General features: G+C 35.4%; 1 protein-coding gene across 3 annotated transcripts in view; it reads right to left on the reverse strand.

The window, feature by feature from the left end:
* CALCR (calcitonin receptor) overlaps positions 1-14916 on the reverse strand; it is a 150239-nt gene that overhangs the window by 66134 nt on the left and 69189 nt on the right. Inside the window, exon 3 of one of the 3 annotated variants that reach the window (NM_001164737.3) lies at positions 5285-5355. The exons of the other annotated variants lie outside the window; for them this stretch is intronic. The gene's annotated coding sequence lies outside the window, so the exon portion shown is untranslated. The remainder of the gene's footprint in view (positions 1-5284; positions 5356-14916) is intronic. 3 annotated transcript variants of the gene reach the window in all.

Raw genomic sequence — 14916 nt, forward strand, 5'->3', positions numbered from 1 at the left:
GCAGAGAGCCAAATCACAAATGAACTCCAATTCACAATCATTACAAAGAGAATAAAATACCCAGGAATACAGCTAAAGAGGGATGTGAAGGACCTCTTCAAGGAGAACTACAAATCACTGCTCAAGGAAATAAGAGATTACACAAACAAATGGAAGAACATTCCATCCTCATGGATAGGAAGAATCGATATCGTGAAAATGGCCATACTGCTCAAAGTAATTTATAGATTCAGTGCTATTCCCATCAAACTACCATTGACATTTTTCAGAGAATTAGAAAAAACTACTTTAAATTTCGTATGGGATCAAAAAAAAACCTGTATAGCCAAGACAGTCCTAAGCAAAAAGAACAAAGCTGGAAGCATCACACTACCTGACTTCAAACTATGCTATAAGGCTACAGTAACCAAAACAGCATGGCACTGGTACCAAAACAGACATATAGACCAATGGAACAGAACAGAGACCTCAGAAATAACACCACACATCTACAACTATCTGATCTTCAACAAACCTGACAAATACAAGCAATGGGGAAAGGATTTCCTATTCAATAAATGGTGCTGGGAAAACTAGCTAGCCATATGCAGAAAACTAAAAATGGACCTCTTCCTTACACCTTATACAAAAATTAACTCAAGATGGATTAAATTCTTAAATAAAAACCACAAACCATAAAAACTCTAGAAGAAAACCTAGGCAATACCATTCAGGACATAGACATGGGCAAAGACTTCATGACAAAAATGCCAAAAGCAATTGCAACAAAAGCCAAAATTGACAAATGGGATCTAACTAAACTAAAGAACTTCTGCGCAGCAAAAGAAACTATCATCAGAGTGAACCAGCAATCTACAGAATGGGAGAAAATTTTTGCAATCTACCTAACTGACAAAGGTCTAATATCCAAAATTTACAAGGAATTTAAACAAATTTACAAGAAGAAAGCAAACAACCCCATCAAAAAGTGGGAAAAGGATATGGACACTTCTCAAAAGAAGACATTTACACAGCCAACAAACATGAAATAAAGCTCAACATCACTGATCATTACAGAAATGTAAATCAAAACCACAGTGAGATACCATGTCACACCGGTCAGAATGGTGATTATTAAAAAGTCAAGAAACCATAGATGCTGGTGAGGCTGTGGAGAATGAGGAATGCTTTTATACTGTTGGTGGGAATGTAAATTAGTTCAATCATTGTAGAAGATAGTATGGCAATTCCTCAAGGATCTAGAACCAGAAATACCATTTGACCCAGCAATCCCATTACTGGGTATATACCCAAAGGAATGCAAATCATTCAACTATAAAGACACATGCACACGTATGTTTATTGCAGCACTATTTACAATAACAATGTCATGGAACCAACCCAAATGCCCATCAAAGATAGACCGTATAAAGAAAATGTGGTACATATACACAATGGAATACTATGCAGCCATAAAAAGGAATGAGCTCATATCCCTGCAAAGGATGAAGCTGAAAGCCATCATCCTCAGCAAACTAACACAGGAACAGAAAACCAAACACCACATGTTCTCACTCATAAGTGGGAGTTGAACAATGAGAACACATGAACACAGAGAGGGGAACAACACACACCAAGGCCTGTTGGTGGGAGGGGTGCGAAGGGAGGAAACTTAGAGGACAGGTCAATAGGTGTAAAAATTTTATTTTTTAAAAAGAAAAAAATAAAATATGCACTCACATATTTTAAAAAACAAAAATAGTAAAAAAAAAGTATTTACAGATTTTTCCAGATATAAATTACTGTCTACAATGTATGCCTATTATACTTGTCCCCAAAAGGGTAAATTCTATTCAGTTTACCTATTGGCATAACAGGAAATTGAGAATGTAAATTATAATTTTGAAACATCATTTTATATGTTGATCATTATTCATTGTTTCTGATTTATTTCAAGTCCACTCAGTAAATTAGAAGCATACACGCACACACGTATTAAGTGCTGAGGCACTACATGAAATGTAAATATGAGCTGGATGAGATATGATTCCAGTATAAGAAGTTGAGCATCTGAGTGGGGAAGGGTATAAATGATATAAGATGTGGCAAAATAACTCAAATGCAGACTGGGTGAAAGGTTCAATGAAATTGCAAAAATATAGGGCCTTATAAGATGGTTATATAATTTTTGATTGGGGGATCAGGGAGGGAATTATATTTTGAGATAAAATTTGAAAACCTGAATAGGGTTTTGAAAAGCAAAGACCTCTTAGTCAGAGAAAGCACATAAAAACAACATATGGATCTAGGAAAACTTAGGATAACTAAAGAATAATGAATATAATAGTTTAATTTAGCTGGAGCATAAAGCCTCTTAGGAAGTGGAAATTGGGCTAAAAAAGTAGGTTTTGAGTGCTTAGGAAATTTATTACCCAAACTACCCATTTGGCATTCTGTGTATTTCTATGTATTTTCATCTACATAAATACACATCCTAACAACCTTACCTAATGCTAAACCCTTTCAGATAAGAATTATTTTTTAGATAGCTATATATCTCTGGCACATCACAAAATTGCATACACATGTTTATTATTATTGATAATGATGGTGGCTTGTGATCTAATGAGTTAAATAAAACATGGAATTCTGATTTTTTACAACTATATCCTCACCACACCACCACATTGGCAAATCTAAATGTATTATTTTCTCTGTCCATTTTCTTGCATTTCTCATATCAGTGTCTTCCACAATTATCCATGAATTGTATGAATGAGAAAGTTGGGATCATTCCTGATTCCACTCACTTCTTCATTCCAAGCTTCTAGTCTCTAGGACTCTCTGATTCCATCTGCATTTTGGGATCTTTTCAAACATGTCCATCCTATCTACTACCTTAGTGCAGGTCACCATCTTTCTCTTCAGTTCCCTGGCAACAGCCTCTAGACCAGTTTCCCTGCTTCAAGTTGTAATCCCTCCAACTCGTGTTCTATATTAAAATGAGTGCAATTTTACTCTTCTTTAGCAATTCCCTACAAACTTTAAGTTAGTGCAAAGAACCATTGGCTAGGAATACAATACAGGACCCCCTTAAAGTAACAAGCACCAGTGTGATCATGAAGAGAAATAGAGAAAAATTAAAATTGTCTCTTAGATTTGTGGCCTGCTAAAAGGACAGATAAGAAATTCAGGAGAGGAAAGTAGGTGGAGGAGGCAAACTTTTAATTTGTGTCTTTCTTGTTGATTGGGAATACACTACCTCCATATATTGGGTGAGACTTATTTCCTGGTGTGAAAGTTGGAGTTTTTGAGATGTATACATACTTGTGAAACTGACACAGTTTTCTTTGTCTACATCTTGCATTTTACAAAGTACAAAGAAGTCATAGACATACATTAAATTCCTAAAGGTGACTGCTCATGATTGTCCTGTAATGTAGCCTCTGAGAGAAGAAGGATATGTAGAACACCACGGGTGGTGCCAGAATTAAAAGCCAAATCTCCTCTTGACATGATCCTACTCATTAATTCCAAATGTGAGAGCTAATATGGCGAGAAACCAGCTTCTTTATGAAGGTGAATATGTGGTGATTGGATGGTTAATTGATAGTACATGGTACCATCCATGTCATGTATTTGATATTTTGCAATGTAGAAGTTGCTGTTTGACTCAACAGTGTTATTAAAATGAGGAGCATTGGAGGCAATGGGAGACTTGTCACTTTAAGGTGAATGGGCTGCACAGTCATCTTGCTGTAGAAAAGGGGACCCCCATGGTCTTAAAGCCCCACACATGACATTTACACATGTATCACAAACAGCTTATGAGAACAAAAATAGTATGAAAACAGATCTGAGAGTGAATATTCGGAAACAACAGAGGGGATTTAGATAAGAAACAATTTCTTTTGTTTTGCCTATTAATTGAAGAGGTCTTAATTTTAAAGACTTGCATTATTTGGAACTATAACAAATGCCTCATGCCCAAACTATAGTAGATCTCTGCTCACCAAGCCTGCCTCTAGTCAGAAAAGTTGCACTGCAGTTGTCCTGGGTTAAACAATGCCTTGTAGATATATGGTTTTTTGAAAAAAAGCACTTTATGGTGACTCCTGAGGAGGGGAGAAGAAAACATATACAGGTAGAGCTGTGAAGAAAGGAGGTGCTTTATCAGTTTGAGAGAGAAAAGCAGGCAAGGAAGAGTAGAATCAGGCTGAAGAATGAGATAATTTCTCTTTCCTGAGATTATTAGAAGGAAGAAAAGAATGGGAGAGAGAGTTAATGAGAGTGATAACTGTGGAAAATCCGGGATGAACTGACAGAGGCCAATGGCTTAGTTGAAGAGATGATTAAAAGACAGAATGAAAGGATGGATAGATTGGGGGTGGAATCTAGAGACTGATTAGTGTAGGATTTAAAACAGGCAAGATTCCAGGTGATATTGTTATGTTCACAGTTCAGTGACCTTCAGGAGAATAGCTGACCTGAGCCTTAGAGAGTGAAACCTGGACCCAGGTAGAAAGGACAGTATCACCAAACAGCAGTTAGTGGGTATGAAATGCACCTTGAGAACTTTCAAATTGGAATGGAAATAGGTGATACAGAAGACCTGCAACCAGAAAATCATCTGGTACACCAGGAAGATCACTCAAAGAAAATCAAAACAAAGTTTAACTTTGACATAAGATTATTTGTTTACTTGCTTCTTGATGAATTACCATCTCCATAGCAAGGATTTTGTTCACTCTTGCAACCCAAGAACCTAGAGAAGAGCCTGGAACATAGTAAATGCTAGTAAATGTTGGTTGCTTGGTTTAAGGGATAATTTAGGGACAGAACCTAAGGAATGTCAATCTATAATTTAGTAAGACAGGAAGCATTGTTCTTTACTTAAAGTGCCCTACTCGCGGAGCCAAAAAATTCTAATTTCTGCTTCTCCCTTTATTATTATTATTTTTGAACAAAGAGTTTCACTTTTATACCAGCTTCTTATCTATAGAATGACTACTTAGTCATGCCCTCCTTGAATAGGAGAAGTATACAAGACCTGTCTCAGTAATCTGGCTCCTTAGGGTAATGATTTCCGGCATATCTTTTAACCACTTTTTTCAAACAAAAACCTGGACAGGAGCCCCATCCTGCCAGAGTTAATGCAGACCCTAAACCAGATCAATGTGGAGCCTAAAAATCTGATTGTTGTGGCTGATTTAGAACATGCAAATGAAGAAACCATTGTAAGAGGTTCAGTTACTGGTGGGACAACCGAATCTATACTGGTTTGTATCCACAAATGGGCACTTGCCACTAATCTTCTCTCCAGAAAATTGCATCCTGGGGTGGCAAAAGTGGGTGGATCAGTGGGAATCATTTATTCTGTGAATAAATAAAATGAAAATCAGTAAATCAATGATAATGATTGAACAGAATGTCTTCATGTAAGGGGAACAAATTTACTTGAAAAGCAAAGTTAAATTATCTTTATTTTTTGTGGAAAGAGTACAAAATGTCAATGTCTGAAAATAATGTGTCTATTCTTATAGATTGGCATTTCCAAAAGCATGTTCCATAGAAGAGCAGCAATCCCATGAGAAGCAGCATAAAATAAAGTTTCCATGGCCAAATAAGTTTAGGAAATTAAGTCTTTCCTATTCTCTCAGAGATTTACTATAGACATTAGCACTTTAAAGACTCTAATTTTTCTGTACGAAAAAGACCCCTTTGATGTTAACTCTTCATTTCCCAAACCTGATTGACCATGAAACACTTTTATGGTGTGATAACAATTAATAACCCATCTATAGAATATCCTTTGGAAAATGCTCTTTTAGCTCAATGGCAATTTCTAAACCACTCTAGTTGATTAAGCCTGCAAGTCATGAGAACGAGCTGCCCTTTCACTTATAATTTTCTCTCTTTCCCCTTCATGAAGCAAAAGTGGAATTTCTGAGGCCTTCAACATTCTCTAGCCTTGGTACAAAGCCCAGTACTATAATGGGCATCTCACAGGCGATTATTCCTTTGGAGCAGTATTTGTCAAGAACATTTCCACCAATATCTTGGCTATGAGAACAAGGAGTAGGATGAGGAATGTGGGCAAAGAGTAGTGAAAAGGAACATGGCTTGTCTCAAAACAGCTATGAGCTGTTGTCACCCAAGGCCTAGAATCTTTTCAAATACAAAATTTGGCATTTCTTTCTAGACAATTCTATTTAATATGTTTCTGTAGATGCAGTCTAAGTGAATAAGCAAATGAATTTTGTGAAACCACAGGATAGGCTGGTTTGCTGCCACAGCAAAGCCTTCTGTTTGGATAACTCCTTGATTATATAACCTATTTGAAAATCATTCTTCATTATTACAGGAACTAACTTGCCAAGGCATAATATGGCCATAAACCCAATTTATGTTGCCACATAAAGCAAAACAGAGTGTCTTCCTACTCTCCTCATGAGTTTAAAATGTCTATCTAAATCCAGGCTCCAAGTCTAGCTGGTAGAAAGACTTGGCACTTTCTGCATTGGAGAGCTGTTCTGGGTAAACAGTGTGACACACAATGTAAGAGAAATAATTCAGATGATAGGGGAAACAGAATAAAAATGATGTCATATTGAAAGAAATAAGACTTTTTCTTTTACTCATGTCAATGACCTGACTCAGCTATGTATTTTTACATCATCATGCTAACTTAGCTCTTATTGAGCACATTGAGCTCTTATAAACTTAACCACTTTGTAGCTTGCATTATGTGTATACATCATCTAATTAGCATTTAATAGTTACTGTGTTTTCAGTACCATGCTAGATTCTTACATACATGTTCTTTGATTTAGTTCTTAAGACAAAATGTTGTAGATTCTCCTTTTACACTTAGTTTGTGGATGAGCAACTCAAAGCTCAAGGAGATTAGGAGATTAGGTTAGTTTCCAGTCATGAAGTTACTGAGTAGACAAATCAGGTGTTCTGACTCCTAGTCCTGTGCCCTCAGAGTGGTCTCTCCAACCACCAAGCTATTTCTGTTTTAACAATATCCCTGACTACAACCAGCCCAGGGCTTTCCATATCATACTTGTTCAATACATGTTTTTTGAGGGTATAAATGAGGAGAAGATCTAACAGCATGTCCTTCATATCTTTTCAGTTTCCATGGAGAACCCAGTCTCAAATCACTCTTGATCTCTATTATATCTATTTATCAACTCATATGTTATTTTCACTGTTATTTTTAAGCACATAGATGATGTTTTTATTATCACTGCCTAGAAGTTCAAAGACCAAAAGCCCACAGTCCAGAAATCCCTGGTAGGAATAATCCAGCATGGATATATATTTCCAGCTATTAAGGGGAAATGGCTAGAAAGCACATTTCTACTCCAAGATGCTAGCCTAACCCTGGTGGAAATGGTGTAAACTACTTGACAAATTTTGAAAAGTTACTGGTCACGTTTTTGTCAGAATTTCTACTCTAAGACCCATCTCCTTAAGTGACTTTAATTATACTTGCTAATGGGAAACAAAACAATGATATAAGATTTAAAATGAAGCAATGATGTATACTAGTTTGGTGGAAGTTTTCAAAAATAAGTAGACTTTACTTCGAATTTGAGTACCACATCCTGTGTAACAGAGTGGTTAAATACAAGACTCAACACAAAGCCTTGCACATAGTAAGTGCTCAATAAGCATTCAATGAATGAACAAATACATGACATCTAAGTAGTTGGTCAGGCAACATTAATAAACAAGGAGATCTTAGAGAAATGGTTCAGAATTGTGTGCAGTTCAGAATTGTGCCATTACCCAAATGGCTATTATTAATGGATAATTGGTTATGATCTGTCTAATTAAAACTAATTTAAGAAAAAGGCATTGTAACCTCACGTATACTTTATAGTATCGGAACTCTAATAGCAGCCATGATAAAGGGGAGATAGAAACTCTTTGATTCAAATCAATTTAATTAAAAATACATCATGCATTTATTAGATGTGTTTCAATGCTTTCTTAAGATGAAGCCAAACTTCGATATGTGAGAGATTGGGAGAAAAATAATCCAATCTAAAGGATAAGCATGAAGATACTGGAATCACTAAGCATACTGAAGAAATCTTAAGTGGGCTAATTCCAAAATCTGTGTTCTTAGTCACTACATATAGACTGTCATATATGAAGAATAAAGTAAACTCAGTTTTGGACAAATGGAAATTGAATTATCAGAAGGGTCTTCTATTTTGAGAAACTGATTGTAATTAGCATGTTCAAGGTTTCCTTGTAACTTTTCAACTTCTGTTAAGATCAACTATGGCAAATATTAGAAGAAAAGTCAGTATGGCATAATGGAAAAAAAAATAGTGGGCAAAGGAATAAGAGATCCATATTGTAATCCCAGAAGAACTTCAAACTCACCACATGACTCTTAAGCATGTTACTATATCTTTCTGGGCATGCATTTCATTACTTATAAAATTAGACAACTGGACTATAATTAAAGGTCTTTTTCACTCCAAGATAGGCTCTAATGTAACCATCACTAAAATACAAAACATGTATTTGGCAGACAGAGACAAGATAGCAATGTATAGATAAATATTGACTCTACTTGACATTGTAATAGAAAATAAACTAAAACAGAATTTCCACATTGGTTTTACAAAATATGATCTCTGTGAACACTCATTAATAACAAAAAGAGGAATGAGCAGTCCACTGGAACAAAGTTTGTGAAATGTGAAATACCACGTGCTCTTCTCTGGAAATTCGCAAGTATGTTAGGATATTAAAAGTTCTGCAAAATTCTGCAACCATGGATCCTCTAAATAAATTCATTTAAATTAGCTGTTATTTCTAATTACATTTACCAATATTAATGTGCAATGGACATTCAAGGAATGGATGGCCACGTCTGGGTAATAATTGACTTCCATTGATTTCCTGAATGAAAAGTATGTTGGTCTCTTGATTAGCAGAAAAAGCTGCAGTAAAAGGTAAATGTTGCAGACTTATCAGCATTTCTTTATTATATTGGAAAAGAAATCGCAGGACTTTGCCATGCTTGTTTGGCTAAGTGAAACTCTGGTAAATATATGATTGGTTAAATATGTTGGTGCTTGGTTTTGAAAGTCCACTTTCACAAATACTGATGAATTACCCTTCTATTATATCTTACACAGGAGACTTACTGAGTGGAACTAAATTGGTTGCCATAAGTTATAAACTCTTTTAAGCCAAGTTTTAAAATATTTATGTAGAAGTCAATGCCACATACATACGAAACCATTCTATAAATACCAACAGGAATTTAAAATGGTGGGATTAAGATATAGTCCTTATACAAAATATCATCTTGTCCTTATACACACACTGTTGAAAAAATCCTCTTTCAGAATAAAGTACAACTGATTTTATTAAATGATGAAACTGGAAGGGATCTTAGAATTCAAATATCCCCAACTTCTCACTCTATAGATGAGCAAAAGAAAACCTACTGAATGATTTATTTTAAATCTGTTTGAAAGTTAGTGGAAGAGCTCTAATTAAAACTCTATCATAGGGTCCAACCTAGTTCATGTTCTAAATTACTAATCTGTCTCGCATTAAAGATTTTTCCTAGTTGGCTTCAATATTCTGCAGTGAAGTTCTAAAGCTTGGTCTAGTAGGGGTAGAAATAACCATAATGATAGTTCATCCTCTTGCCCAGTTTAATTTCTCTTAGTCACCTTTAACATTCTGTTTGGTTCTGATATCAAGACTATTTTAAGAAAGAAAGTGCTTAGACTTGAATAAAATGAGGTTAAAGAAAAGGACATCTGGGGTGTTGTTCAACGTATTTAACAATTGTTGCCACTGCAACATCCACCAATTAGAACAATTGCTGGCTGTTAGCCACAGGCCCTGTTGTACCAATACTTACTAGCAATAAACCAGTCTGGGGTTCTTAATTTTCTGCCTCTCCCCCATAACCTTGCTATGCATTGTACATACATTTATCTTTGTATGTTTGTGTTTGCAGAAATGGAGGTGGGGTAGAATGAAGCAGAGCACTTACTGTGTTTATAAATTCACTCATCAAATATTTGCTGAATCCAAATCCAGGACTTGCTCTTACGGAGTCTTTCTGTATTGCAGAGAAAGCTTGAATGGGAGCTATCCTCATGCACCCCCTTAATACACATATCTCCCAATCCTCTCACCACTTATGGGATTTCATACAAAGATATTTCATCTAGAACCTTATAAAAGACAAGCTTGCTCCTGCATTTCCAATTTCAGTGCATATATTTACTAATAAAGAAAAGCACCATCAAATGTAATTTAATCATTACAAACTTTCCTTTTCTTCCTATTAAATTATTTAAGAATCCATTTTCCTGAAATTTGAGTGCCCTTGGAAATTATCCTTTCTTCACAGCTGTGTAAGTAGTTCAAAAGGTTCTGTAAAATTGTCTAGATTCCCTTGAAAAACAGAGCAATTAAGTGAGATTAATGATATAAGGGATGGCCAACCAAGTTGGATCTCTAAATGTCAGCAACGATATACAAATAGTTCTCATCATAGCAGTTGTTTCCCACCATGACCCTAAGAGCTAAGAATCAGTGGTCTGATCTGACGAACTTTATCTAAAATGATGATGTTAAAGTCAATTTCAATGTGCAATTTAATTTTTCAGGTGAACTGAACATCCTGCTTTATTCAAGAAAGCTTAGTCCTTGTGAGAAACTTGCATATGACTCACCTTGCCAGTTCACGTTTAAAAAATTGGCACATTATAATTTTACAAATTTATGAGGTACAATGATGAAATCACCAGTTCACTTTTTAAAAATTAAGTATATAAAAAATTACAGCACATAAAACAAGGTTTAATCAACCCCACAAACTTAATCAGGAATACCAAAGAATTAATCTGAACTAATGTGATTTTGTTTGGGGATGCAGATGGGATAATAACTGAGAAGTTCAGTTATTTCAGAACGTGTCTAGAGGCATCTACATGACTTAGATCCATAGGTAATCCGATTCATATTTTTCTGATAGCTGACTCATATTTCTAAGACATCTTGTATCTCCTCACCTCTCTCTGGTGGTAGTACGCATTCAGTGATAGGAGCTAAAGGACGCAGTGCAGAACTAAACCAGAATTTATGCAAAGTCAATGAGCTGAATTGAAATAACTGAGTTGACTAAATTAATCTGAGCAGGATCTGTCGCTTTCCCTAAAGGAACCCTGACTAACAATAGCTTCTCCAACTGACAGTTGACTCTAACTTAAGTTCACTGCTTCTCTGCTGTTGCTAATGTGCAGGTTCTGGGTCCTGAACTAATTGCTGCCAGGTGGGTGACAGGAAACAGAGCTCCAATCTTGTTCTCTGTTCTGAGAGAAAATTCTGATATTCTTTGGAAAGATATAGATGAAACCTAATGTTTATCAAGAAACTCTGTCTGTTATCCTTCTTGGCTGATACACAAGAATATATGGTAGTCTTTGGCCAAATTAAAACATTAAAATGGACTCCTTTTTTGAAGAGGGGTTGGGAGTAGGGGATAACTAGTGGGAAAGGAAGGAAGGAACTAAAATGAACTGAATGCATATAGAAGCCAGGCAATTTATACACATTACATTATCCTCCTATGAAATGCAAATAGGCATTTAAATCTCCACTTTATATATAAGGAAATAAAGGTTCACAGAAGTTAAGTAACTTGATTAAGATCTCACAGTCAATAAGCGGCAGAGACAGAACTTGAAAACAGTTCTTACTTCAAAATCTATTTTCTTTCCACATTTCACACTGATTCTAGAAACATACGTATTTAAATAAACATGCCCATTGAAAATAATGAAGTTTGAAAATAAGTTGTCAATGATTTTTTTCTTTAATTGATCTACTCTTAAAGATTATATAACTATCTTCTGGCTAAGTTTCGCTGTATTAACATTATAAGTTTGTAAGCTGTAAACAACTCTATATGCCAAAATTCTTAAAACATCCAGACCCTTTGACTAAGGTTTTTTTCCTCTTGATATTATAAATTGGTCCAGATTTGATTGTAGAAATGTCCATCATAACTTTGTCTAATGCAGTGGAATTTGAAAGTAATCTAAATGTCCAAAATAATGAATTTGTTAATCTTTGGCACACCGATACTAATGGAATACTCTGCAGCCATTAAAAATTGTGTACTAGAATATTTAATTATCTAGATAGATGTTTTTGGTATGTTATTACTTTAAAAAGGGACTACAAACTGAATGTATGACATAATCTGATTTTTGTAAATATATATTTATATATGAATAGAAAAAAGGCTTGAAGAATATAATATTATGCAGCAGGCACTATGAGTATACACGTATTACCTCCTTCAATCTTTTCAATAGCCTTCGCATGTAGATACTATTATTGTTACTGTAATTTTGCAGCCATGAAAACTGAGTCTTAGAGAGGCTAGGTAAAATACTAGATTTGCTATGTAAAAAATAACCTCCAAATCTCAGTTTTTTAAAAGAAATGATTTTTTCTTTTCCTCAAGTTACATGATAACTATGGGGCAGCTGAAGCACCCTCTGTGGATCTGCTCCACATGATTTTCTCTCTGTGACCAGGGCTGATGGAGCAACACTCGTCTGGAATATGCTGTTCTCAGGGCAGAGGATGGTCCTGCCAGGGGAGCAACGCTTTGCTCAGATGAGGTAAGACATAACTACTCACACCCTATTGCCCTAAGCAAGTTACAACATTAAGGCCAAAGTTAACATATCATGAATACATATGCTTTTTCTGAGGAAGGAGAAAGCAAATAATTAGAAACACACACACACACACACATACACATACACACGACACAGAGGAAAATTGCACAAGTTTCCACAGCAAGGTGACAAAGATGGTACTAGAACCTCTCCAGATGGTGGGATTGAAAGTGATTGATTTGATTTGATTTGATTTTGCTTGCCTGCATTTTCTAATTTTTGCAACATTGACGGGAATTGCTTTTGAAAAAAAAGAAAAGAGGAAATGAACTATCTTGTTCTTGTTCTGTGTTTTGTGCACTGTTGCTGATAGGAATGTTCCCTATGGCGTAGCTTTGGAGTACAGAATAAGAAAATAGTAGGGGAAAGAGGGAGGTTATACTTGTCTCACCTTAATTGCTTGGGTCTGCTTTCAATCTGTCTTCAGATAACTGGAAATATACTTTTTAAAAAGTTTGACAATAATCCCCAATAAGGAACAACCCTCAAATTAAAAGAAGGCTCTTAAACCAATGGGAATGCCATTTCACTGAGAACTATTCTCTATAATGAAGGCTTCATTCATGATATCAACAGCAAGTTGCAATAAAAAAATGAATTAACACAATTAGCAATACACTGAAGACAGAATGTCTGATGGGCTTTCTAATTACATCTCTTAAGAGTGCCCTGGTGGTGATTAGGTGTTAAAAAATGTATTTCACAAATGTAATTACAAAATTATAAAGGGAAATTAATCTCAGTGGCCAATGAAGAATAGTCATAATAGACCCATAAGTACAGCTTCCAACAATATACAAACAAAGACAGAAAGCATTCAGTGATATTATAGAAAATTGCCCACATTTCCCATTTTAATTCTTATTGTTGTTTGGCTTCTTTGGAAATTCCCCCCAACAGGGAAAAAAACCAACAAATTCTATCTTACATTTCACACTTGCCTTCCCTAAAAACACTATCATTGTAATATTGTTTAAGTATAGCTAAAAATAGTTATTTCTGTGCTGGAAATAAGGAAACCCCTGACTGCAAAGTAATAGACCATGAGATAGTTTCAATATCTAACTTCAGCAATATTTGGTGCTCAATGAATTCTGGTAGAAATTCTTTAACCATGTATTATTTCCTCTGCTCAACAGCGTCTTTTTCTTTCTCCCACCGTATGTAAAACCTGTGATCTGCCATCTTGGGAAGACATTCAAATAGTACTCGTAAATATGTCTACCATGATCCATAAGTTTTTAAGACCTAAGAGAGATACGTGTTCAAAATGTTCAATATCCTCAACTACTATTCCTTTTCTTTCCTTTTTCCCCCTAAGCAAAACTGTATTTTTTTAATTTAGTACAACAAAGAATTTAAGTTTCCTGAAATAAAATAACTTCATGCCATAAGAATGAGGTAAAATCTGTCCAGTTAATCTTTTCTGGTATTCTCTTAGGAAGACTGAGTTAGTGTTATCTATTCACTTTGGTAATAATTGTGACTGACATCTCCAAGTTCTATCTAAAGCAGACGCACCCATACAAGACTTATGCAAGAATCTTAGGGGTGCAGCAATATTTCCATGTGGTATCTCACCTCCTCTCTGAAGATGCTGCTGCAAAAAGAGCTTTTATAGTATAAGCAGTGGGGCCCCTATGGAAATTTATGTCTGCCACTCCTGATATAGTCCCACCACCTATACTATTTAATAAAAAGAAGTGTCAAGGAAGGTACCGGTTCTGAGTAATTTCAAGGACACCTGAAAAAGGCCTGCAATTCAAGCATATTTTCAATGATGTCTAGATAAGACTAGATATAGCTAAGTGGAAAAAAAAAAGCCTATAAAAACTCAGTAGTCACAATGTTCTTTGCAGAACTCCCCCCCAAAAATAGTTTGAGTTTCCTTTTCAAAGAATCAGTTGGCACATCCAGTTGCATCTGTTTTTGTCAAAGCAGGAAGAGTTTGATACATTGGTTGTGAAAATAGTCGTACTTTAACTTGGGACATGTGGAAGGATATGAATTAGTGTGATAGATTCGGGAAAGTTTAGTCACGAAAGATGTTTGAGTCAGACAATCAGACATTAGAGATTATCTAATATGAAACCCTCATTTGAAAATGAAGAAACCAAGACTCAGGGAGGAGAAAGAACTTGTCCAAATTTACAAAGTGTATACACAGCAATGGGAATCAGGTATG

This window comes from Homo sapiens, chromosome 7, assembly GCF_000001405.40.
Source record: "Homo sapiens chromosome 7, GRCh38.p14 Primary Assembly".
Taxonomy (NCBI): domain Eukaryota; kingdom Metazoa; phylum Chordata; class Mammalia; order Primates; family Hominidae; genus Homo; species Homo sapiens.